The 26,783-nt window shown below is 37.3% G+C and overlaps 1 protein-coding gene and 1 non-coding gene across 6 annotated transcripts in view, besides 2 other annotated features; both read right to left on the bottom strand.

Moving 5' to 3' along the window:
- DTL (denticleless E3 ubiquitin protein ligase adapter) overlaps window positions 1-26,783 on the bottom strand; it is a 69,266-nt gene that overhangs the window by 11,729 nt on the left and 30,754 nt on the right. For 3 of the 5 annotated variants that reach the window (NM_016448.4, NM_001286230.2, XM_011509614.2), the window contains 6 exons: window positions 26,400-26,473; window positions 24,958-25,061; window positions 24,582-24,686; window positions 21,072-21,184; window positions 15,023-15,112; window positions 12,535-12,670 (listed from right to left, as the gene is read on the bottom strand). In NM_016448.4, coding sequence (NP_057532.4) covers window positions 12,535-12,670; window positions 15,023-15,112; window positions 21,072-21,184; window positions 24,582-24,686; window positions 24,958-25,061; window positions 26,400-26,473 — 622 coding nt within the window. Of the gene's footprint in view, window positions 1-12,534; window positions 12,671-15,022; window positions 15,113-21,071; window positions 21,185-24,581; window positions 24,687-24,957; window positions 25,062-26,399; window positions 26,475-26,783 lie in introns of those variants that run through there. The other 2 variants (NM_001286229.2, XM_047422489.1) reach the window with 2 other exon arrangements.
- Window positions 10,907-11,076: an enhancer, noted in NCBI's record as "experimental_3330 CRE fragment used in MPRA reporter constructs". NCBI's record gives its function as "activates a minimal promoter by MPRAs in K562 erythroleukemia cells, with activity observed for the non-introgressed 1:212255636 or rs72750369 variant allele {active_cell/tissue: K562}" and the evidence as "EXISTENCE:reporter gene assay evidence [ECO:0000049][PMID:34662402]".
- Window position 10,991: a transcriptional cis regulatory region, noted in NCBI's record as "Neanderthal adaptively introgressed variant 1:212255636 (GRCh37/hg19 assembly coordinates) or rs72750369 in the experimental_3330 CRE". NCBI's record gives its function as "modulates activity of the experimental_3330 enhancer by MPRAs in K562 erythroleukemia cells {active_cell/tissue: K562}" and the evidence as "EXISTENCE:reporter gene assay evidence [ECO:0000049][PMID:34662402]".
- On the bottom strand, window positions 15,600-15,672 carry MIR3122 (microRNA 3122). Its single transcript, NR_036068.1, has one exon. It is a non-coding gene; the product is annotated as a microRNA 3122 (primary transcript).

Here is a 26,783-nt window from a genome sequence, read left to right as displayed (position 1 = left end):
CTTCAGGAGCTATAAACATTCACCCCCAGACACTGCTGTGGGGTCGGAGCCCTACAGCCTGCCCATCTGTATGCTCCCGTAGAGGTCTGAGCACCGGGGCATTGAAGAAGGAAGCCACACCCTCATCGCACGCCCTGCAAGGGGGACAAGGGAACTTTTCCAGTTTTAAAATCAGCAAGGAAAAAAAACCAAATAATCCCATCAAAAAGTGGGCTAAGGACATGAATAGACAATTCTCAAAAAAAAGATATACACAGGGCCATCAAACTTATGAAAAAATGCTCAACATCACTAATAATCAGGGAAATGTAAATAAAAACCACAATGCAATACCACCTTACTCCTGCAAGAATGGCCATCATTGGGGTGGATGTGGTGGAAAGGGAACACTTTTACACTGCTGGTGGGAATGTAAACTAGTACAACCACTATGGAAAACAGTACAGAGATTCTGTAAAGAACTAAAAGTAGATCTACCATTTGATCCAGCAATCCCACTACTGGGTATCTACCCAGAGGAAAAAAAGTTATTATATGAAAAAAACACTTGCCCATGCATGTTTATAGCAACATAATTTGCAACTGCAAAAATGTGGAACCAGCCCAAATGCCCTTCAATCAACAAGTGGATAAAGAAAACGTGGTGTATATATATACCAGGGAATACTACTTAGCCATAAAATGGAATTGAAATAATGGCATTTGCAGGAACCAGGATGGAGTTGGAGACCATTATCTTTTTTTTTTTTTAGACGGAGTCTCGCTCTGTCACCCAGGCTGGAGTGCAGTGGCACGATCTTGGCTTGCTACAACCTCAACCTCCATCTCCCAGGTTCAAGCAATTCTCCTGACTCAGCCTCCCAAGTAGCTGGGACTACAGGCATGCACCACCACACCTAAGTTTTGTATTTTTAGTAGAGGGGGGTTTTACTATGTTGGCCAGGCTGGTCTTGAATTCCTGACCTCAGGTGATCCACCTGCCTTGGCCTCCCAAAGTGCTAGGATTACAGGCATGAGCCACTGCGCCTGGCCTGGAGACCATTATTCTAAGTGAAGTAGCTCAAGAATGGAACCAAACATCGTATGTTCTCACTTATAAGTGGGAGCTAAGCTATGAGGACGCAAAGGCATAAGAATGATACAATGGACTTTGGGGACTCAAGGTGGGAGGGAGGTAAGGGATAAAAGACTACACATTGGTTACAGCGTACACCACTTGGGTGATGGGTGCACCAAATTTCAGAAATCACCACTAAAGTACCTATCCATGTAATCAAACATCACTGGTTCCCCCAAAACTATTGAAATTTTTTAAAAAAGGAGAGATCACTATATATATACTATTTCGTAATATTTTATCTCAAGCAAATTTATTTTTATTGTGTATATAGGCTATAATGTGATGTTTTGATACATGCATACATTGTAGAATGATTAAATCAAGCCAACTAACATCACTTCATATATTTTTGTGGTAAGAACATTTAAAATCTACTCAGCAATTTTCAAGTACATAGTACGTTATTCTACTCTCTGCTCCTATGAGTTCAACTTTTTAAGATTCCACAAGTGAGATCATGCAGTATTTGTCTTTCTCTGTCTGGCTTATTTCTCCTAGCATAATGTCTTTCAGGTTCATCCCTGTTGTTGCAAATGACATTAACTTTCTTCTTTTTCAAGGCTGAATAGTAGTCCATTGTGTATATACATCATATTGTCTTTATCTGATGAATACTTAGGTGATTCCATATCTTGGCTATCGTGAATAGTGCTGCAGTGAACATTGGAGTGCAGGTATCGCTTCCACATACTGCGATCACTTTTTTTGATATATACCCAAAAGTGAAATTGCTGGATCATATGGTAGTTCTATTTTCAATTTTTTGAGAAACTGCCATTCTGTTTTCCTTAATGGCTATACTAATTTACATTCCCACCAGTGTACAAGGGTTCCCTTTTCTCCACATCCTTACCAATACTTGTTACATTTTGTCTTTTTGATAAAAGCTATCCTAACAGGTGTGAGGGGATATCTCATTGTGGTTTTGATTTACATTTCCCTGATGATTGGTGATGCTGAGCAGTTTTTCATATACCTGTTGGGCATTTGTATGTCTTCTTTTGAGAAATGTCTATTCAGGCCCTTTGTCCATTTTAAAATTAGGAATAACCTGCTTCTTAATATATTGTGAACATTTCCCACATTAATACAGATTTATCATTTTTAATAGCTACAATGTATTCTAAGGTATAGGTATTCTACAACACATTTAACGCTGCCATTAGCATTCTTATATAAACTGTTGAGCAATGCTAGGGCAGAAAGGCACTGCACAGGGGCTCTCAAACAGGAATGCACAGATCTAAAACCTGGCACAATCACTTACTATGTGACTTGGGCATAACCCTTTATCTCTTTGGACTCAGATTCTATATCTGTTAAAGGAGATAGTTTTTCTTTTCACAAGAAGCCATTCAATCAATTATTTGTTAAGGTTATCAGGCCTCACATGGCTTCCCACTTTATTTTACAAATGACTACTATTTTCCACAAGGCAAAAAACATTCAGAATCTCAGTGCTTGCTCTCTGTAAATCAAATCAAACTTAGTAAATAGGACTTCTGTATGTGTACCTGTCCCTTTGTTTACATACAATGGCAAGTACTTCAGGCAAATTTTTATGAACTTCATGCTTCTTCCCTCTCGGGCCCTACCACAGACAACACTTTCTCAATTTCCTTCTGAGCTTTCTAGATTGCTGAAATAGCATTCCTGTCTTCAAATAACAAGGGTATTTATTTATTCTCAGTCACAAAGCCTTTGAATTGTTAACTATAATTTTTAATTCAGTTTAATTACCTAATTGCATTTATATCCAGCTGAATTTAGGATGGGCTGATATAAAAATGCAATCTCTCTTTTAGCATAAATAAAGATTGGCAAGTACTCACTTTAGTCAGTTAATTATCCTGTCCTTTTTTTACCCTGTGTTTTTCACTCCTAAAGCAGTCTTGCCTTGAGAGAGAGAAATTCTACAAATTGACTTTTGCCTAAACTTTTCTCATCAACCATATGTTTAGAACCAGCCAAAATGATACTGCTCTTTTAATAAGGATAATTACTGAAAAACCCCATTTTGTCATAAGATGCCATGAAAAGGACTTAGTAACAGGGACCTATTCATGAAACCTCTGGTTATGGTTCTCACACTAACGCTCTAGAGCTTGATAACAGCTATTTTTTTCAGCAGAAAAGGAAGTTTTCATTTGCTGCACTCCTCGGTGCAGGTTAATAGTCACTGCACAGCTGCCACAGTCATCTGTTCCATTTAAGTGGGTCAAAGTGTACATTTAGGGCAGAAAGTCCTAAAATTTTATGAGTCCTATAATATGCCGATTAACAAGGCAGGATTGGGGAAGAAGGAAGAGCTGGGACAGGGACAAACCAGGTATCTAGGTTTCTGAAACTTGCATGGCACACACTGGAGTATTTACTGATAAGGCTGGTATGAAATTGATGTGTTGGAAAGTTGGGGCATTTCCTCTTCCTTCAGGATGTCATGGTGAAAGAGGAAGTGGTCCATGGGGGTCAAAGAAATTTTGTTAGCTTTGAAGGTTAGCAAATGCTGGGTCAAATTTAAGTGTGTGTATATGTTTTTTAAACAGTAACTACATTATAACAGTATGAAAGTTAATGGTAAAAAAATTCAACCAGTACAGAGGGGAAGAGGGTGGAAACAGGATCCTCTTTTCAACTTTTTCATTTCACTTTTACATTCTTGTGCATTCCGCAATTTTCTCTGTGCCTATTTAGCACATACAAAGGTATATATGTATCAGACCTTAAAAAACCCCAAAATACAAATGGATTATACTATATATATATCTGTACATGTTCTGCCATTTGCTCTTTTATTTTTACGTCTCTTCATGTAAGTACACATAGATGCATTGCATTATTTTTAACAGGTGCATAGCATGCCATTATATGGGCCTACACATTTAAATATGGCATGCCATTTTCTTTAGTACTTCATCTACTTAAGTGGACTAACTCCTTATTGACCTTAAGCAATATATGAGATTTGATGACATGGTAGCATAGACTGAGTTATTGCCCTAAATGCTTCCTAAAGTCAGTTCCTTCGAAGAATTATACAGAGTCTACTAACAGTTTGCAGCTTCTTTCTTTGTTTTTTGAGACGGAGTCTTGTCTTGTCGCCCAGGCTGGAGTGCAGTGGCATGATCTCGGCTCACTGCAACCTTTGCCTCCTGGATTCAAACAATTCTCCTGCCTCAGCCTCCCGAGTAGCTGGGATTACAGGCGTGTGCCACCATGCCTAGCTAATTTTGTATTTTTAGTAGAGATGGGGTTTTGCCATGTTGGCAAGACTAGTCCCGAACTCCTGACCTCAGGTGATGCGCCTGCCTCGGCCTCCCAAAGTATTGGGATTACAGGCGTGAGCCACCGTGCCCAGCCAGCTTCTTTCTATATGAGTTTGCCATCTGGCCTCAGCCTGCCTTTTCAGTCTTATCATGTACTTTGCTATTCTAGGATCACGTTACAGGACACTACTAGTTGCTTCCTGAACAAGCTGTGTACTGTCACATTTCTTTGTTCATGTGGTTTTCTTGCCAAGTCAGCTCCTCCTTTGCCAGGCAGAAATTCTTCTCATGTTTCAAGGCTCTGATGACAATGTTAACTCCACTGTGAAGAATTCACAACTTCTTTCCTCTTCTCCCACAGAGCTCTCCTCTCACAGGGGAAGTAGGTTCTCAGAGCCCCTTGTTTACACAGCTAATGGCTGTGTGCTATAGTTTTTGAATCTGCCTCCTAGACTAGACTGTGAGCCTCGAGGGCAGCTAATAATGGTTTACTCATCTTTAGGCCCAGTGCCCCTATAGTGCGTAGTAAGGAATTATTAAACAATGTTTGTTAAGTTTCATTACTGCTGACAAGGATACAGGTGAGGTTCTAGGGATCAGAAAATTGACTCTATAATTATCCTGCTGACTTGTGAGACTGCAGCAAGCAACTGAGGCAGAATAGGTAGGGTTTCCTTCTCTTTAGGATAAGGATAATCAACTTTATCACTCAATAATGCCTAAACCAGAGGTTCTCAATCCTCGCTACATAACAGACCTCCTTGGAGCTTTGTAAAAATACAGGTCCAGTCCCATTGAATCAATCACTGGGGATACACGGACTTGAAAAGCTCCCCAAGTAGCTATGATGCATAGCCAAGATTGAGGACTATTGGTTTCAACAGTGCTATGAGATCTCTGGCTAAAACATAGGGAAAGAGTGGTAAGCAATGAAGCAGGTGCCGGCTGGGAAAGGTAGGGCAGGAGAAAAAGAGGCTATGTCTTAGCACTTAAACCCTTCCAATTAATGTGTTAACTGAGGGGGTTTACAAGCCAGGGCCAGAAGTGAAGATAAGCAGCCCAGGACAGCAATGAAAGGTTGGCGTGGCAATTAGAAGCTTGGGAAAGCAGGGGAACATGATTTTCAAGATGGCAATGTGATTAGAAGCAGCAAATCTGTGGCTGGAAGCTGGCTTAGAGAGTCGAATGGTCAGTGTGCCAGCCTTTGAAAACCCGTGTCAGGTTGTTGCTTCGTAGTGCTCTTCAGAGTAACCCTAGCATCACCCAGAAATGGAGTAATCTAGGCATAACTCTTACTCTGATCTTAACCTGAACTTTTGCCTTGCTCTGCTAGGTTCTTTTTTTTTTTTGAGACAGAGTTTTGATCTGTCGCTCAGGCTGGAGTGCAGTGGCGTGATCTCCACTCACTGCAAGCTCCGCCTCCCGGGTTCACGCCATTCTCCTGCCTCAGCCTCCCGAGTAGCTGGGACTACAGGCGTGTGCCACCATGCCCGGCTAATTTTTTTTGTATTTTTAGTAGAGACGGGGTTTCACCATGTTAGCCAGGATGGTCTCGATCTCCTGACCTCGTGATCCACCCACTCGGCCTCCCAAAGTGCTGGGATTACAGGCGTGAGCCACCGCACCCAGCCTGCTCTGTTAGGTTCTAAAGAAGGCAGTGCTGCAGAGTGGTTCTGAGCATGTGTTCTAGAATCAGACTGCAAGGGTTCAATTATAGACTCTGGTTCTACAACTTCATAGCTATGAGATTTTAAGCAAGTCTAACTTCCTTGACCTTCAGTTTCAGTTGTTTTCATAATTAAATGAGATAATCCAAGTAGGTCCTTAGAATAATTATGCTAGGAGTCAATAGTGGCTAAACGTTGTTATTATTACAACTCACATTTGGTCAATATGTAACTTTTTTGGTGACTTGGCTTCTAATACTAAGGATAATTAATGGCACACTAAAAGTACATAGTTAAAAGCAAGATACTTTTCATCACAAATTTTAAGAAATGGTATAGTCATTAACACAAGAATTCCACCTTTGGGAATCTTATTTTAATGGGAAGGGGGACCCTAAATTCAGGGAGGAAAAAACCCCAAGTTTTAAAATATTTGAAACAAATGTTTAAACTACAGTAGAATAGCTAGGTAAATTATGGAACATTTACTCAAGTGTAGTATTTGAAATAGTGTTGCAAAAAAGATAACATAGAAAGTACTTAAGGCTGGGTGCAGTGGCTCATGCCTGTAATCCCAGCACTTTGGGAGACTGAGGTGGGTGGATTGCTTGAGCTCATAGTTGAGCCCAGCCTGGGCAACATGGCGAAACCCCATCTCTACAAAAAATACAAAAATTATCCAGGCGTGGTGGTGCATGCCTGTAGTCCCAGCTATTGGGAGGCTGAAGTGGTAGGATGGCTTGAGAGAAATCAAATGCGTATTCAGTACAACTATGGTTCTGTTAAAAAGAATCTCTATGTATAAGGGAAAAACCTCAAAAAATAACTGGAAATGTCATTTAAAATTATGTCAAAGTGGAGGGAATACTGATGACTTTTTTTTAAAATCAGTATTCTCTAATGGCCTCATATGATTCTTTTCTTTTATATTTTCTAAAATGAGAGAGAGAAAAGTACATATAACGACAGGCAATAGAAAGACATCCAAGTTCATGGACCAGAAGATTTAACATTATTACGATGTCAATACTTCCATAACTGATCTACACAGTCACTGCAATTCCTATCAAAATCCTAGCTGGCTATTTTGCAAACAATGACAAGCTGAAACTAAAATTTGTATAAAAGAGACCCAGAACAGTCGAGACAATCTTGAAATAAAAGAAGAAAACAGAAGTAGGATTTCAAAACCTACTACAAAGCTACAGTAATGAAGACAATGCAGAACCATAATAAGGACAGATACATAGATCAATGGAATTGAGAAGTCAGAAATAAACCCTCACATTTATGGTCAATTGATTTTTGGCAGATTTTTACCAAGGGTGCCATGACGATTCAATGGGCTAAAGAATAGTCTCTTTAACAAGTGATGGTGAGAAAGTTAAATATCCATATGTAAAAAATTTGAATGCCTAACTCACACCATAACACAAAAATAAACTCAAAACGAATCACAGGCCTAAACTAAAAAACTAGAAGAAAGCATTGGAGTAAATCCTTGTTACCTCAGAAGAGGCAATAGTTTCTTTGATTTAACATCAAAAGCATAAGTGACAAAGGAAAAAACAGATAAACTGAACTTCATCAAAATTATAAAGTTACATGTGTCAAGAGACACCATCAAGAAAGTAAAAACACAACCCACAGAATAAATCATTGCAAATCATTACATGATAAGGGACTTATGTCCAGAATATATAAAGAATGCTTACAACTCAACAATAAAAAGACAAATAACCCAATTAGAATATGGGCAGAAGATCTGCATAGACATTTCACCAAGGAAAATATATAAATGGCCAATAAGCACATGAAAAGATGTTCAGCATCACTGGCCATCAGGAAAATATAAATCAAAACCACAATGGGACACTAATTCACACCTGCTAGGATGGGTATAATGAAAAAGATGGACAATAACAAATGTTGACAAGAACATAAGAGAAATTGGAACCCTCATTTTAGGTGTTGAAGATATTCTAGAATTAGATTGTATTAATGACTACATAACTCTAAATATAGTTGACTCTCTATATCTTGAGTTCTGTATACTGGGTTCCACAGCCATGCATTCAGTTGACTACAAATTGAAAATATTAAAACAAAAACACGAAAAAAGATGGTTGTGTCTGTACTAAACATGTGCAGACTTTTCTTTCCTGTCATTATTCCCTAAATGATATAGTACAACAACTATTAATATACCATTTATACTGTACCAGGTATTTTAAGTAATCTAGAGATGATAAAAGTATATGGGAAAATGTACATAGGTTATAGGCAAATACTACATCATAGATAATGAATCTGAGCTTCTGTGGACTTTGGTATCTGTTGGGGGTTCCTGGATCCAATCCCCCATGGATCCTGAGGGACAACTGCATACTAAAAGGAACTGAGCTGTATCTTGATTTAACCAAAATCATGACCCTGTGTTAGGAGGATGAGGAGTATGAAGGTTTGATAGTGGTGGGACACAGGAAAGGGAGTTAAATCCTCATGTTACAAAGGAAAGAAGTTAATAAAGCTGAAAATTGCAAAAAATAAATAGAAATGCACAAAACTATTTAGAGGTCTAGACATACATATCAAAGAATCAGCAAAAGGATTTGAAAGAGGTTGCCTCTGGGAAAGGGAAACTATGAGGCAGAGGGTCTGTGGACTGCTATTTATCTTATTCACTGTTGTAGAACTAGCTGACTTATTAAACTGTAATACTAAATTAATGAAAAAAAATTTTTAGGGCTGGGCACGGTGGCTCACGCCTGTAATCCCAGCACTTTGGGAGGCTGAGGCGGGTGGATCACCTGAGGTCAGGAGTTCGAGACCAGCCTGACCAACATGGTGAAACCCCATCTCTACTAAAAATACAAAAATTAGCTGGGCATGGTGGCACACGCCTGTAATTCCAGCTACTCAGGAGGCTGAGGCAGGAGAATTGCTTGAATAAGTGAGCTGAGATCATGCCACTGCACTCCAGGCTCAGCGACAAGAGTGAGACTTTGTCTCAAAAAAAAAAAAAGAAAAGAAAAAAAGAAATTAAAAAAAGCAAAGAGCAAAAACAAATAAGGCAGCACCATCAAAGACTACAGAAACCAGACTTAGAGCAAAAGACTCCTCTGAAGTCTAGTTCTGCATCTTATAAGCAACTAAATAAGTCCTTAGAAAAATGAACCTGTATATTTTCCCTTTCTCACCTTCAATTCCCCATTAACCTTAGGCCTTGATGGCTGAAGTAAAATGAATCTTTAAGCTTAAAACTCAAGCTTAAAGATAAGACAGTTTGAAACAGTCACTGAGAGAATATAAGAGTAAATGGACAGGGAAATATGATTGTTGGCCAGTAAGAGTCAACTTGAGGCTAGCAGTAATTAATTGAAAGTGAGCATTCCACAAGGTTGTGTGTTTACCATGTAAGTACAAGTATACAGCACATCTAATGATACCCTGAGGATCCACACTGTGGGTGGCTCATTGCTTGAAGATTTTTGCTCTTGGTTCATTGTTACTCTCTTCAACATTATCTGTCAATTTATGGTGATTAAAAAATCTATGTACATGATCTTTCCAATACCTTGGTTTCTCAGTTTTTTGACCTCCTTCTTCTATAATCTTGTCCTTTCACTCTCCTAAGCCACTTATTCTTTACCTTATTATTACCAATACCTGGAAATCTTCCATTATCTTAATTTCAATCATCCCACTCATCACCACTTATTTTCCCATCTCCCTTTAGTATTTCAATTCCAACAATCTTTTATCCTCAATCCACTGCTAGTACCACATTTACACTATCCCTTGGCCCCATTATGTCCTTACTTCCCTCCTGATATGGTTTGGCTGTGTCCCCACCTGAATCTCATCTTGAATTCCCATGTGTTGTGGGAGGGACCTGGTGGGAGGTAATTGAATAATGGGGGCAGGTCTTTCCCATGCTGTTCTCGTGACAGCAAATAAGTCTCATGAGATCTGACAATATTATAAGGGGGAGTTTCTCTGCCCAATCTCTCTCTTTGCCTGCCGCCATCCATGTAAAATGTGACTTGCTCCTCCTTGCCTTCTGCCATGATTGTGAGGCCTTTCCAGTCATGTGGAACTGTAAGTCATTAAACCTCTTTCTTTTGTAAATTGCCAAGTCTTGTACATGTCTTTATCAGCAGTGTGAAAATGGACTAATATGCCTCCTTACCAAGGTTATATCTTATAGTCATAATCATCCTCTTTGCATCCACTGTCAACTTCCTTCTTCACTTGCATTGCTAAACCACATCCCTGGTTAAATCTAGCTCTCTACCTATAGTATACTTGTACTTGCATAGCAAACACACAACCATGTGGAGTGCTCACTTTCAATTAATTATTGCTAGCCTCAAGTTGACTCTTGAAGCCCAACAATCATATTTTCCTGTCCATTTATTCCTCTATTCTCTCAGTGACAATTTCAGACTTTCTTATCTCTTCTAAAATCTCTACTCCCTTTCTCCCTTATCCTCATTCGCAGTTAATAACCCTGATTCATGTTTTAACATCAGAACAGAAGGAAGCTTCTGTAAGTTATGGCCATCTCATCTCTCCACCTCTCTCCCCACCATCTCTCAGTAGCCTACCTGCACCATGCTTATATATTCCACCTTTTCTCCAATTACTATGGGTCAACTATCCATGTTCCTGGCAAAGGCCTACCCTCCTACTGTGTATCAGATAGTATCCCCTCATGCTTAACATTGCTCCAGCAAATTCCCCTGCATCAATCTCCCCCTCTCTATACGATCCTGCCAATCACTGTGAAATGTTATATTCCTATTTAAAAAAACCCCAGCAAACTTCAACCCTGCTTCTTTCTCCAGCTACCACTTCACTTCTCTTCTTTCCTTTATAACAAAACTCCTTGAAAGAACTGTCTATACTTGTAGTCCCCAAGTCATATACATGAATGACACCAATCAGGCCACCATCATACCACCAAAACAACACTCATTAAGGTCACCAAATAACCCCTATGATTGCCTAATCCATTGGTCAGTTTTTAGGCCTCACCTTATTTGGTATACCAGAAACATCAAATCAAGTTCATCCCTCTCTCCTCTTATTTACTTGGCTTCCAGGATGTAACACTCTCCCAGTTTTTCTCTTACTTCTCTGGTTGTGGCTGCTCAGTAGGCTTTAATGGTATTTGTCACCTCCTCAACCTCTAAACATCGGGGTACCCCAAGACACCAGGCCTATTTTTTTCTATCTATAGCTATCTTCACCCTGTGTGATAATGAACCTCACATCTGCAACTTCAACCCTGAACTGCAGAATTAAACATCGAAATGCCTCCCTGACATGTCCATTTGGGTGTTTAATAATCATATCAAACAACATGTCCAAATGGAACTCCAGCTGTTCCCTCCCAAACTTGCTCTTCCTGCAGGGATATTTATCTAGGTTAATGACACTCCATCTTTTCAGCTTCTTAAGCAAAATCTCTGAAGTTATCCTTGATAACTCTCCCATATAGCCCCACATCTGATCCCTCAACATATTCTGTTGGCTCTGTCTTGTAAATATATCCAAAATTGGATGACTTCTCACCATAGCTTCTGCTACTACTCTGGTCTAAGTCACCATCATCACTTCCTGGATTATCTCAATGGCTTTTTAAAAGTAGCTTTTTGCTTTTACCCTGACCCCCTTACAATTTATCCTCAACACAGGAGCAAGAATGATCAAGTTAAAAGTCAAATTATGATACTCTTCTGCTCCAAACCCTCTGGTGGACTTTTGTCTATCAAAATAAAAGCCAAAGTCTCACAGAATTTCATTTTCTACTACTATTCCCTCCCTTTCCTTTGCCTGCTGCAGCCCTAGGGGCCAGCCATGCTAGCCTCTCTGAGGAAGAGAAAATATGCCAAGCATGCTCCTGCTTTAGGGCCTGTGTACTTTTATCTGCCTGGAATATTCTTCTTTAAAATATCTATATGGCTTACTACTTCACTTTCTTTACTCAAATGCCATCTTTTCATTGAGGCCCCCCTGGTCACCTAATATAAAATTTTGATAGCATATTTCACCCTTGCCCTTCTCCCTTTCCTATTTCCTTTATTCCTAAGCCCTTATTGTTATTTGACACAGTATATATTTTACTTTTTTATCTTGTTTATTGCCTCTCACACTAATATGTTAGCTCTATTTACATCTTCAGGATTTTTTATTCTTTTGTTCATTGCTGAATCCCTAGCAACTAAGAACAGGGCCCAGCACATACTGGGTGTTCAAGAAATATTTGTTGAATAAATCCACCACTGTAGTACCTTGTGTAAATGATAAACATAGTAGTGCTTGGGAAATACTTATCAAAAAGAATGAATGGCAAGAAGATAGTGCTTTTCTTTAAAAACATACCAAAGCAAGATCAAATCTAGCTTATTACTCTGTACTGTCGGACTAAACTAGTCAAACCATAAAAAACTTGGAAAGTATATGATATCCTTACCTAGGCCAGGTCTTGACTCTTTTTTCTTCTGAGAGGCCCAACCCACCGTGGAAAGTTTATCACCTCCTGGTTTCTCCTCTAAGCCTCTATTCAAGCGCCAGATTTTTAGTGTATTGTCATCAGAACAGGTAGCAATCTAAGAGGGAGTACCAAGAAGGGAATTAAGAAATTTCAATCAAGATTCAAAATACATTAAAAAACAGGTGTGTCTTAAGGCCTTGTGACTGGATAATTATTTTGTCTAATAAACAGGATATAGAAAATAATATCTTAAAGATCATGTACATCCATTTCTTGCTTTCAGGAATCATTCCAGATTTCCAACAAAGCTGACTCTTTAGTTTATTCTTCATATACATTCTACTAGTATGTCTTTTGTTACTGGTCATTTCTTATCTAATCTAAAGTTCTGGCTCTTTATCATCTTCTGTATAAATACAAAATATGTAGTTAAGACACTCTTTTTACTCTTCTGTTAAATGATCAATCAGTATATGTTACCAACATTCAATTTCTACAACTTTCTTCTGAATTCTGCATGTTGTGCCACATTGCTAAAGTAATGGCACCATTTGCAAGATCAGACTTGGCCCATGACTCTAGTAGGCTGTGACAAGTAGAAGGAAACCATTCCTTTTGAGATTCTTTTTCAGATAGGTAGAGGAGCAATCTGGGAAAACAACAAGTTCCCTAGGCTGAAAGAAGTTAAAAAATAACCTTTGTCCCTTTAAAAATATCTGACTATTCTAGATCTTGGTCCCAAGCCTTTTATGGCAGAGAAAGTCCAGCTTGAAGAGCTTGTGGCAAATGGCCACTGGTACCAGAGCTGTTCCCCAGCATTTGTTTATATAATTTCTCTATTTCAGTCACTAAAGAGAAAGAAAAAAAGAATACATGTTCTCTTAAGTCTTGGCCCCCAAGAGACTGGCAGCTTTTTCCTTTCCTTACTGGGAGGCCAAAAGAAGATACACATATTTAACTGTTCAATATGAAATGTTTGGAATCTCACAGTTCTTCTATAGTTTATTAACAATAGTTATTTGCAGAGCACCTACTATGTGTCTGGTAGTTTACATTCTTTATCTTATTTAATTCTCACACTCTAAAAGCTTTGTACTCAAATAATCTCATATGCAAAATGGGAATAAAGTTATTTGCCCAAAGTAACCACAATCAAATGGAAGAGCTAGAATTTAAACCCAGCTTTCTCCTATTCCAAATGCCAGACATTAAAAACACAAAAACAACACAAACCATATTTTACTTTCCTAATTCTAGGCTTGGGATGAAATTATTTTTAAGACTTAAAAAAGTAGCCAATAAATTAGTATAGGTAAACAGCCCTGCTATTTCCTTTGAGCACAGGAAATAAGGATAATTAATATATGATGTTTGAGATGCATAGGGGTAAGGATAATATATGACAATTGAAAAAAAGATAACATAATTAACTGAATAATTCAAAAATCATTCAACTTAGTAAGTCCCATGAAGATGCAACCCTCCATGTTAAAAGAAATTACATGGAATCTCAGAGGAAAAAATATCATTAATATGTAATTTTGGGTGATTAAAGTAATGACTTAAAAAAAAAGAAAAGGTCTGCCATGAAGTTGAGCACAGAAATGGTAACAATAAGGAGAAATCCACAGCAATACTGGAAGCTAGCAGGGATGCCACAAATAGACCAGACCATGAGAAGTTTCTGGAAGATAAAAAACAGATGGGAACAATAGGCAACAAAACCTCAAAACGTCATACGTGAAAGGGGAGACCTCCACAGAAATAAGATTTCCTGTAGAACCCAGAATAACTCAAAGACCAGAGGCAATGGGGTTTGGGAGAATGACTGGAACTTGAGCTACTATTATATGCAATTCCAATAGATACATAGTTTTTAATGTTTCTGGCCTTTCTACATTTTAGGGTTTTTTTGTTTCTTAAAGTGTCACTATAAAAAAATTAAAAGGTGGGCATATTGTCTTCTTTCTGGAGTATCTAAAACATTTCAGACCTACTTACATAGTTTAAGCAATAGATAACCTAACATGTTAAGACTTCACAGTTACCATTTTGTTAGCCATATGTGAAAACCCAAATTGGGCTGTCAAGATGTTACCTTTAATATACTACATTGATAATATCTAAAAAGTAAAAAAGACTAGTTCTCACCTTAGATTGTATTTTTATCTTAGATTTTAATAGAAAATTTTAATTAAGTTAACAACTTAATCCTACATTTAGGAAAGAAATAACTGTAGGGAACCAGAAATCTATCCTTATTTCACAGGGCATAATACCATTATGGTATGGGTAGAGAAAAGCAGAATATGCCTGAGTAATGTGAATATAGATCCTGGATGGCCTTTAGGTCTTTAAAATCTCAACTTAAACATAAAAATTTATATCATTCTCAAAACAAACCTTAGAAAAACCTACAAACCTGTGATCTACATTTTAAACCAACTATAGAGATTCATTTACAAACCTTTGTGAAGTCAGATGGACACCAGCACACAGACGTGACCTCTTGAGAATGACCCAGGAGCACAGTAGGAGGTTGCCAGGGTGTGGAGACCTAGTCCAATCAAAAACAAACAAGTCAGCAAAGCAATATTAGATTTCCCAGATAGAGGCCTTTGAATTCAGAAGTGTGTCTTAGAGAGCTTTAGGATTGTTACCAAAGGCCACTAGACCTGCCTAGCTATAGTTAGGAAAAAAAAAACAACAGATTTCCAATGGGCAATGAAATATTTCTGTTACTAATCTGAGAAAACACAATGAAAACAGTCAAAATAAGTAAATAACATGAGCTTACACACAAGGATAGTCCTTATTTCATATCAGGACAACCTAGCCATATATATTTTGACTAAAATTCAAGACTGGCATTGTCCCTTATTCCTTAGGTGGTAAACTTTCTGGAAGGATGTTATCCATCCTTAAGTAGTCAACTCGACAACTCAGTCCTGTTTTTACACAGCATATATATCTTCAGATCCCTAGTCAGCTACTTCTAGGAACACTAAATTAACTGTGAAACCTGAAGATTTCTGAAACATGCTACCAGCTCTCTTCGGACAAGATGATGGTCTTCCTTCCAAAAGAAGACCGTCCTCTTGTCCCAACAGAGCTGGTCACTAACTTTTACAAAACCCAAAGTTATACTCCTTCATTTTGAGTTGGATAACCTTCATTCTGAAGGGGTATAAACTATATTTTACATGGCACTTTGGTATCCTTTCTGAAAAACATTTTTTTCCTCTAAAACTATATTTCAGTTAATTTTCTGAGAGAAGTTTTGAATTTTCAAGTAAGTGTCACTCGCATTTTAATATATTTTAATGCAGAAAGAAGGGTCACATTGTACTGTCCTGTACATGTGACTAAGAATCATATTTTTCCATCATCAGATGCCACCAGTTATGTACATTTGACAGCATCATACAGCTGACTCATTCAAGAGATGTCAATCTCTTTCATAGGCCATGGGAATTAATCAGCACAATAACGAGTACAAACACACATAACTATTATTAGCATGTGTGTTTCAAAAGAGCAAGGAGGTTGGGGCTGAGAGAAGTTATTCTCTTTTCATTTTCCTGAGGCTCTGAATCATGGCTCATTTGTATGAAGAAAGTGGAGGTGACTCTGGAATGATTATTTGTGAGAATGACTAAGTAAACTTAATAGATTCCCCCAGATTATGGTTAAGAGATCTGACACACTGACTGATAAGGTTATTCAACTCAATCATTAATACTCCTCTCTTGGCTTAAATGGTACATATGCAATAATTAAAAAAGCAAAAGAAGACAAAGAGCAGAGTCTAACTTGTCTTGCAGAGTTAATTAAAATTTATCAGAAAGGAAGCTTTTTCCACATCTACAGGAATCTCACTTACTGCCTACTCCTACAATGGCACAGAGATAATTCATTCTTTCACAATGTAACATATTTTAGAAAAGACTTTGAAGATCGTCTCTAACTATCCCAGTAGTCACAGAAATTTTCCTTTCCTCCTCTGTTTGGGATGGCCCCAGTCGATTAAGTTTCTCTTCACCCAAGGTCCAAACAGGTCTGGTAGCAGCAAATTAGAAGGGAGAGGAAATCCTCAAGTCCTACTGAGCATCCCTGGTAGAAATACATTATTGTCTTCCATTGATTCACCCTGCTTATTGCCTATAGCTTTTTAATTTCATGATATTGGTCCTTTCTCAGTTTCTGTATTATAATACCTAGGAGAACCTAAATGTGTACACCAAGGGTTAAAATAAGTTTCAAAAAACCCCCTAAATACCCACCAATAGAATATATGCACATTTTTGCATTTATCTATAGGGTTTCAGAGAAAAAAGAAAGAGACCCATTAGAAAAACATTTTGGAATACGTTAACAAGGTATCAATGACGACAGTAAAAGTCTAAGCCAGGCACTTTACATAGCATTAAAAGTGGGGGGAAGTTTCCTCAGAAAGTTAAACAATTATATGACCCAGCAATTCTATTCTTAGGAATCGAATTCTGTTCCTACACTCCCAGGAGAATTAAAAACCTATGTTAAACAAGAACTTATACACAAATGTTCACAGCAGCTTTATTCATGTCAAAAAATGGAAACAGCTCAAATGTCCATCAACTGATGAATGAATAAACAAAATGTGGTCTATCCACACAATGGCATATTATTCAGTCATAAAAAGGAGTAAGTACTGACACATGCTATAACATGGATGAACCTCGATATTATGCTAAGTAAAAGACGTCACACACAAAATGCTGATTTTGTATGATTCCATTTATATGAAATGTCTAGAATAGCAAATCCATAGAGACTGAATGTAGTTTAGCAGGTGTTGGGGAGGAAGAGGGGATTAGAGAGTGACTGTTAAAGGACACGGGTTTTTTTCTGGTGTGATGATGTTTGGGAATTAGATAGTGGTGATGTTGGTACAACACTGTGATTACAATAGTAACTACTCCATTGTAAACTTTAAAATGACTAAAATGGTGAATTATATGTTATATGAATTCTATCTGAATAAGGAAAAATGGGAGGAAGGGCGTGTTATGGGTTAAAATGAGAAACTAATGTCTAACACGTTTTTATGAACTTTTATGCTTTGATAGTTTAGGACTATCCTAGGGTATAGTATGACTACTTCAAGAAAGATTCATTCCTTCTAATGAGATTCAGGTGGCTTTTAAATCCTTCATTTTTATTCAAATAAATTTTTATTTATTGTCCCTACATTATTATAAGAACACTATCATAATTACGTAACTTCATTTTTTAAAGCTTCCTTTCCCTTTTAAGTAGGAAGGCGACTATTAAGTCTAAGAGACATTTATATCCATGCATTTTGGAGATGCTCAGACACAGAAGACTGTCCTCTCTTACATATTCTACTTTTTGTAAAATAAAGACTTTAATTCAAGGCACAAGGAATCCCAAAGTTAAATCTCCTAGAACTAAGAAGGTACCTCTAGAAGTAAGTGGCTCTAACTTACAGATGTCATAAAGTTATTTTGTGTACTGAAACATACAAAGAATATCAGCACTTTTCCTCACAAAATCTCTTCTCTGCCCAGTTGGAAACCAAGTCTAATCTTTATTTCTGCCATGAGATCATTTACACTTCCTAAAGTGTCAGGCTCAACGTTTCACCAGTCAGTGGTAGAATGACTATGCCAAATCAGTTTATTTATAACCACTTCGATGCTATTCAGTGGCTATATCAGAAACAAACCAGAGAAAAGAGGATGGGGTGGGGGTGAGACAATAGTTAGGAAATTAAAAAGAAAAGGTATAATATTAAATCTTTTTAAGTCTTGGGCCTCAATATCAGCCCGAATATATTATATTTCCTCTTTGCTGGGCAGTAGTGAGGATTAAGAGGCCATTCTCTTCTGTCTTAAGATACAAAACTCCCTTCTATTTTGTTTTCTTGTGCCCATGGGCTTTTGGCTTTTTAGCATAGAAAAAATTCTAATACTTAAGAGAATTCTGACTTTTTGAACACGTAGAAGAGCAATCTAACAGCCTGGATACTCAGCTTGAATGGAATTGCTCTTAAAATACCACTCCTCCTTTTTTTAATCATGGAAAAGAGAAACTGAGCCACCTCACTAGGCAAATTCAAATTTAGGAGGTGCAAGCTTGCCAGGATCTCAAATATCAGAGCCTGTACACCGAGTTATGTGTGGACAGGCAGAAGAACATCACGTCTGAACCACGTCATTCAACACTGACATGTGACCCAGCCTAGGAATTAAAAAAGGGTAACCCTTGTATGTGGTAGACACTGATTGGTTGTCTGAAAATGGCTTAGAAACAATGGCCAACTATATTTAGTGTATATCTTTAAAGGCAAGTATTCCCACAACCTTCATTCCCTGAAACAAAATCTTAAAAAGGCCTTTGCACTAGAGAAGAGGAAGGAACTTTAACAATTGTCAAGAAAACTTTACACAAGATACACATAATATATAATTATACACATAATTATGTATATATATAATTTAAAAATTTATTAAGAATTTAAAAACTATCAAGAAACTATACAACACACATGTAATTGTATACATAATTATGTACATATAATTAAAACTTAATAATTTAACAAGAATGATCAATACATAAGTATTTTTTGAATTATTCTTATATGCTTTTTGTGATGTTGGAAAAAAAAATTTTTTTTTTAACAAGAAACAAACCTTAAAAGATACAGACCTGTGGTAGGAATAAAATCCTCTAGTTAAGTTGGGAGCCAAAGTGGAGAAGGAAACATAGGCAAGACAGTGAGCAAAGAAGAAAGGAAAAAGGTAGCAAAATAAGCATTAAGACCAAATTTGAAACTGAAAATTTTAAATATAAGACAGAGCATTAGTGCCAGCGACATAACATTGTTAAACTTAAAATCTCAAGTAAGAAGAATATTATAAAGAGGAAACTCCATCTTGTGATGGAGTCAAGTATATACTTTATAGGCATTTAAAAATATAACAAAAGAAAGAAATATGCTTGTAGAAAAAGGCAGGCCCAACATAGAAGCATCTTGGATAGAGCAATATTTCCACCCTGTGACTATTTAGGATATTGTTAGTAAAATTTTAATAAAGTAGTGTTGCATTTTCACAACTCCAGTTATATAGAAATCACTTTTCTTTTGTACTTCCCTCAGGATTGGAAGAAATTAAGCTGAAGAATTATGCTTCATACTAAACAGGTTTTACCCCTGTCCTAAAAAAAATTAGCAATATTACTTTCTAGAGCTTGGCAGGATAAAAAATGATATAACTTTCTCTTGAGAAGGGATTTGATACTATCGGAACTATGGGATCTATGAAGTTTTAGACATTATGACTTTAAAACCCAAAATATGTGAACTCTAATCATTCAATTCACCAATGTCAAAGACATTTATGAAGTTACAGGGAAATCTAGAAGATAATTAATTCTTAGTCATGGGTAAACAATGCCTTAATGATCATTCTCTGAATTCCCAGAACATTTCCATAATTAATTATTCCTTCAAGAGACATTTTTCAGTAATAAGCAAGTGCTACCTGTTGTCTAACATTTTTATTTTCTCCACTGGACTTCAAATGGACAGCTTTAAATTTCTTAGCTTACAGTAGACACTTTAGAACTACTGTTATTAAAAAAGTTATTTAAAAGATTATTGGCCAGGCATGGTGGCTCATGCCTGTAATCCCAGCACTTTGGGAGGCCAAGTTGGGCGGATCACGAGGTCAGGAGATCGAGACCATCCTGGCTAACATGGTGAAACCCCGTCTCTACTAAAAATACAAAAGAAATTAGCCGGGCGTGGTGGCAGGCACCTGTAGTCCCAGTTATTCGGGAGGCTGAGGCAGGAGAATGGCGTGAACCTGGGAGGCGGAGCTTGCAGTGAGCCAAGATCGTGCCACTGCACTCCAGCCTGTGCGACAGAGTGAGACTCCATCTCAATAAAAAAAAAAAAAAAAAAGATTAGTAAATAATGCTATTAAATATATAAAAATCTGATAAAGCAGCCATATCTACTTTAGTGGCCTGAAGATCAGCTACTTGTAAGGAGAGAATAAAGAATAAATTAATCATAAAAATATTTTTGAGTTTCTGTTTTGTGCAAGGCTCCATGGGTGATTCAAGCACAGGATCCTAGGGATCAAAATACTGTATTCTGAACGAGAGTTTGAAAACATAGGGCAGAAAGTCAGTATAGCATGTTTTCCAGGATGCAGGACAAAGTAGTTAAGGTTCTTATCACCCTCTGAATTCTCAATTTCCTAATAATTTTTGAAACAGAGGATACAAATTGTCAATTTCTGACAAGCTATGGCCCTGAAAGTGTCATACATTCTGTAGTAGAGTAAGGTTTCAGCTATATTAAGAGCCAAGAGCAACCTTTACTAAATATCTGATGCAGGAATAGTATAGCACGTGGTTACATTAAACTTATCTCATATTGGACAGAACAAATATTTGCAAGAATACTTCAGTCTAACACTTGTGGGTGAAGTTTAGCAACTTACCTTCCATATGTAGGCAGCTTCATCACTTGAGCCACTGACTAAAAACTGGTCATCTGGACTAAGGCTGGATTTTACATAAAAGGTAGAGTTCTGGTGTCCATTGAAAATAGCCACTGCCAGAGGAAAAAAACCAAATTACTTGGCTCTTGTTATTTCTAGTGGTCAAATGGATATAGACAGCATATATATTCTAACAAGTTTTATCACTGTATTGCCTATTGAAGCAGATGATCTAGCTTTATCCATCAAATACAAGGGAACTAGACATTGGCAGAAAAACAAAACCCTAGAAGGAAGCTTTATATTAGATCCAATCTCATGAACTCAGTCTGAGTACTTGGTACGAAAATGGCAATATCAAGAGAAAAAAATTGGAGGGAAAACATTCCTTAAAAAAAGAATCCAGCCAATGTCCAACTTGCAGTAAAATGCCTTTATAAGACCCTCTCTCTCCAGCCCAGGGTAGGATTTTTTCCACTGCATAATATATTCATCTAATTTCCCCTTAGACTTCAGGCCTCTTGAGGATAAATTTTATATCTTACTTTTTCCTCACTAGACTTTATAGTGCTTTGAACAGAGTAGATCCTCAAACATTTGTTCCATGAAAAGGAAAAAAAAAATCAGTGAAAAGTATCATTTGAGTTCTGGTTAAAACTTACTAATAGCTTATGTGGGATGTGAGAATCATTTTAATCCAGCACTTTGAGTAGACTGAATGGTGGAAGAGCTAGTGGAGTAAACTGTTTATATGTAAGGCACTAGATTAGGTTTAGCCTTCTCACTCTCAATGGCAAAAGGGCAGGTAACCCAATCTAGCATATGTTCTTAACAGGTTCTTCTATCCTAAGAAGGTCAAAACCTGAGGCCTCTGACATCAGAACACTACTAGGAAATACAAGAGAAAAATCTCAATTATTGGAGAATTTAAGGATACCTTTAGGCAGGAAAAAACAATCACACTCCAGAGAGAAAAGTATTAGTAGGGGACTTAACAGCTTCCCATAAGTGCTCACAGGAATCTCTTCCATTTTCTAGAATAAAGCTGGAAAAGAACTTTGTATTTATAGCTTTAAAGGAAAAAGCTATGCAGGCATAGCAAATACTCCTCACATCAGACATTTTTACTGTGAAAGTGAGGCAGGATATGAATCAATTTGTATACACCTATTATCACTGCAAAATAAACAAGCTCCTTTATTCTGAACATTGTTCTAAAACTGTAATTTTTAATCTTCCTCAACTCTCAACTATGAATGGAAAACTCTAGCCTGAATTTCCCACTACACCTGTAAGTATTTATTGCCCTCTGCTGGTCTAAGAAAGGCTGGTATGATATGCACTGTAAATGTTTAAACCTTGCTAAAAATCCTCCTAAAATGTATGTTGGCTTTAATGAGCTCAATTTAATCTTGCTTTGGTGATCTGGGCTTTTCAAGTACTTCCAACCAAGTCATCCTTATGAACATATAAACACCATAATACAAAGCATGGTAGATCAAGTATCGAATCCAAGATCGATTCAGAAGTTTTGAAAAGGACAAGTAATTACAAGACGTTACACACACACACACACACAGTTGTCATTCAGTTTTTTTTTTTTGAGACAGGGTCTTACTCTGTCACCCAGGCTGGAGTGCAGTGGCAAGATCATGGCTCACTGAAGACTCAAACCTCCCAGGCTCAAACAATCCTCCTACCTCAGCCTTCCAAGTAGCAGGACTACAGGTGCATGCCACCACATCCAGCTAATTTTTTGCATCTTTTTGTCAAGATGAGGTTTCACCATGTTGCCCAGGCTGGTCTCGAACTCCTGGGCTCAAGTGATCTGCCAGCCTCGGCTTGGGTTTATAGGTGTGAGCCACCATGGCCAGCTGTCATTCAATTTTTAAGGAATAAATCGATCTATTAACCTATCTACCTATCTATCCATCTGCGCAAATGAAATTAAATAGAAGCATAGAAAAGGTTTACTAAATTATTAGCGAAGTGTTGGACAGCAGGACACTAAACTCAAGGACCTTTTCAGTGCCACACTGTAGCAAAAATTATATAGAAAGAGCTCTTGTACATCTGATAATATAATCAGGATCACGCTTTATCTTTCAAGGAAAGATGTTGAAAAGTCTATTTTATTTGACTAACTAAATTAGCAGCTCTCCAAGCTCAGATTCCATTAAGGAAAATAGCAAAAGAAACACCTCTTCCCTTTTCTAAATACTATTGCTCCTGTTTAGAGAAAACTAGACCCAGTGCAAAGTATCAGAAATGCAGACTATGATGCTGCCACCGATACTAAAGTCCTAATAAGATTGCTTGGGGTGATCTTTGGAAAATTCTGTAAGATCTCAGCTAAAATGACAAGTTCTGGGCCGGGCATGGTGGCTCACGCCTGTAATCCCAGCACTTTGGGAGGCTGAGGTGGGTGGATCATGAGGTCAGGAGTTCGAGACCAGCCTGACCAACAAGGTGAAACCCTGCCTTTACTAAAAATACAAAAATTAGCCAGGCATGGTGGCGGGCGCCTGTAATCCCAGCTACTTGGGAGGCTGAGGCAGGAGAATTGCTTGAACCCAGGAGGCGGAGGGTGCAGTGAGCCGAGATCGAACCACTGCACTCCAGCCTGGGCAACAGAGTGAAACTCCGTCTCAAAAAAAAAAAAAAATTTATATCTATATCTACATCTATCTATAAATAAAATAAAACAAGTTCTGTACTTGAGATTTCTTGTTTATCAGCACTTTTTACTTTAGTGGAAACTGGGTAACTCTGAGGATTGGTTATGGAATTCAAAGTGTTTTTGAAAGATCTATAGATGAGGAATAACCAGGCTACTAAGATGTTGCTTAAGAAATTGATGTTCTTAAAAATAATGTAACCCAAATAACTCTCTTAAAGCATGCCTGAGGCTGGTGATTTGGAAGAGGGAGGGGAGAGGATTAAAAAAAAGAGGAAAGCATGCTTGAGAAACTTGGGTTTTCTTTTTAAAACTATCATTTATTTATTAGTTTTAAGTATCAGATTCTATTTTTAAAGTTTTGAGGAAAAAAAAAAGGTGAGGCTGGGGAAAACATCTAGAAATAAAAGGGCCTCTAACATTAAGGAGAAGGCTGAGATAGGCTGAAACTATTTTGGGGGTATGAAAATTTCAGCCCCCTAATTTTAACCAGCAGCCCCTAAAGAGGAAAAAAGCTGAGCAGAAGCACTTTATCTACTCCACAGCTTATTAAATAAAAAATTGAGAGAATTCTAAATATAGGCCAAAGGGCATAATTTCAGGAGATACTCTCTATTAAAATAAAGTCACCATGTAAAGCACAATTCAGCTAACTTATGAAATCATCACAAGGAATGTACACTTATGAAATTATCACTGGATGTAATCAAAGATGCCAAAGTCCTCATATGGCTTAATAAGTTCAGTTTAGAAGAAAGCCCATTAAATTATCATTACCAAAAAAAGCCCATAATGCTTTCCTGGTAAGAGAATTTGAATGACTAATATCTTACCTGGAGAAGTCTTCAACCCAGTCATATTAAACATGTAGATGTTATCGTCTGTGCAATTAGCAAATAAAGTAGAGCCAGTGGAATCCAAAATCAGACTTGAATATCCTGGAAAAAGGAAACTTAAGTTAGCACGTCCTGATGATGGTGAGTAGATCTGAGGTTAAAATGTAGAGACAAAAATAGATCATTTCATAAGAATCATCATCAGAATTCTTTGTCCCCAAAATATACACAAACCAAAAACATTCTTCTGAGTTTTTATCTTTTGAACTTCACATATTAGAATTTTTCATATCAATGTTACTGGAAATTAGCCTTTTTTTTTTTTTTTAAACAAAAACTCTTATCTCCCCCAAAAGACCTATTAAAGGCTTACCAAGTTTTCGAGTGCTGCTACCTGGGTACAGGAAAGACTTGGATGCTATGGGTTCTTGTCGATAAGCAGTATAATTCTTACGTAAATCCCATACTTTGATTATCCTAAAAACCAAGGCAAATAAATATTTTGTAGACCTTCTTCCAACCCCAAACAACTTCAACTACACTAAATGTGAAATGACTTTTAATCTAACTCCTCTGGCACATTAACTAGGTACAGTAAGGATATTTCATTGGGAAACAAATTAAAGTATCTTATACTGTTGTCTCCAATATCAGGCTTATAATTCTGACAGAACGGAAACAGATGTGATTTGACCCAGTGATGGGTTACTGGAGTTTACTCTAAGAGAACGGAAAAGGAAGATGAAGGTTGAGTGCCGATAGTAATTGTTCCATTGTTTTTAGAAAATACACTTCCTAAGCCTTTAATATTCTGCATATATTTTTGATATCATAAGTAGCAAGTTCTGTCCCTGTGGTTATATCTCCATACATAACTCTTTAAATAATCTAAACAAATTGTTCTGTGAAATAAAGTATTTTTTCATTTCATCTATTGAGATAATTGTCTTAATCCTCTACTTCTAGTATAAAGGTAACTTGAAAACACAGACCTGCTATGAAATGACAGTATTCTTGGAAACAAACAGAGCAAGCTTTCACAGTCATTCACAAGCAGAACTAATAACCTTTAGATAATCCTTCATTCCTGCCTGAGAATTTGGTTCAGAGGGTTTTAGTGCCCAGAGGACACAATGGAAATCCTAGTTTGGTAAGCCATCATCTTTTAAATTAAAAATTTTAAGAGAAGGATGCCTTGAGAGATATAATAGGAAGGAAACTTAAAAAGAAAGAGTCTCCATTTGCATAGAATTAATATTCTACAACACAATCAACAAGCATCACAGAGCAGACTTATTTGGAAGCCAAGAATTCAGACTAATCATGGATGACAGGTATGTGAAAGTCATTAGACCTTACTATCATCAATCTAGTTAGATTACTCCCAGAAATGTCAATTACATCCCCAGAATCAGATTTCTTCTTTTAGGATATTCTTAAACCTGAAAAAGACAAAACCCAAAGTAACAGAAATTTTACTCTTCAAAATGAGAATTAGTGACTAAATTATATTGCATAAGGCAAGCAAGCTACCCAGCCAGCTTCTTTTCTAAGATAGCAACAGCAGCTACCACTGCTCTTATGTGCTAGACAATGTGCTAAGCGTGACACATGTATTCTTTCATTTAATTATCCAGCAAGAGTCCTTCAACTAGGTATTTTCCAATGTGATCTATAGCTCCTTTCCTCAGTTGGGGTACTTGCTATGTTGACAGTTGAAAGCACACACATTCAATTATAATGAGACTATGTGACTGCCTCATCACAATCTCATAAAAAAGATCTCGTCGGAAGAAAAAAGAAATAGACTCTTACCCATCCACAGCTCCTGCTGAGACTAAGGTATTCTCGTCTTGAAAGAGGACCACAGTAACACTTTGCTGGAAATCCTGATAGCACAAGAAAAGAAGAAGATTCTATCTTGGGCATCATAATCTTTACCATCAAGGGAACAAGGTGCTAAAAAACGACTTTTCTCCCCAGACTGACTTAGATGAAGTCTTGTCTAATGATCTCGATCAGATATATATGCTGACCAAGAGGTAATTTTAGCAAGGATCATTAAGTTTTAGTATACAGTGTTAATATTTCAACTTATACTCAAAAAACAAACTGGTGACTAAAAGATTTTGCTCGTCTGAGCCTACTGCATCTACTTAGACTCAGCCCTACTAATATGCTGTGTGTATCCTTAGGAAA

The sequence above is a fragment of the Homo sapiens genome, chromosome 1, assembly GCF_000001405.40.
Source record: "Homo sapiens chromosome 1, GRCh38.p14 Primary Assembly".
Taxonomy (NCBI): Eukaryota; Metazoa; Chordata; class Mammalia; order Primates; family Hominidae; genus Homo; species Homo sapiens.
The sequence above is the reverse complement of the archived record's forward strand: the minus strand, read 5'-3'. Positions and strand labels throughout refer to the sequence as shown.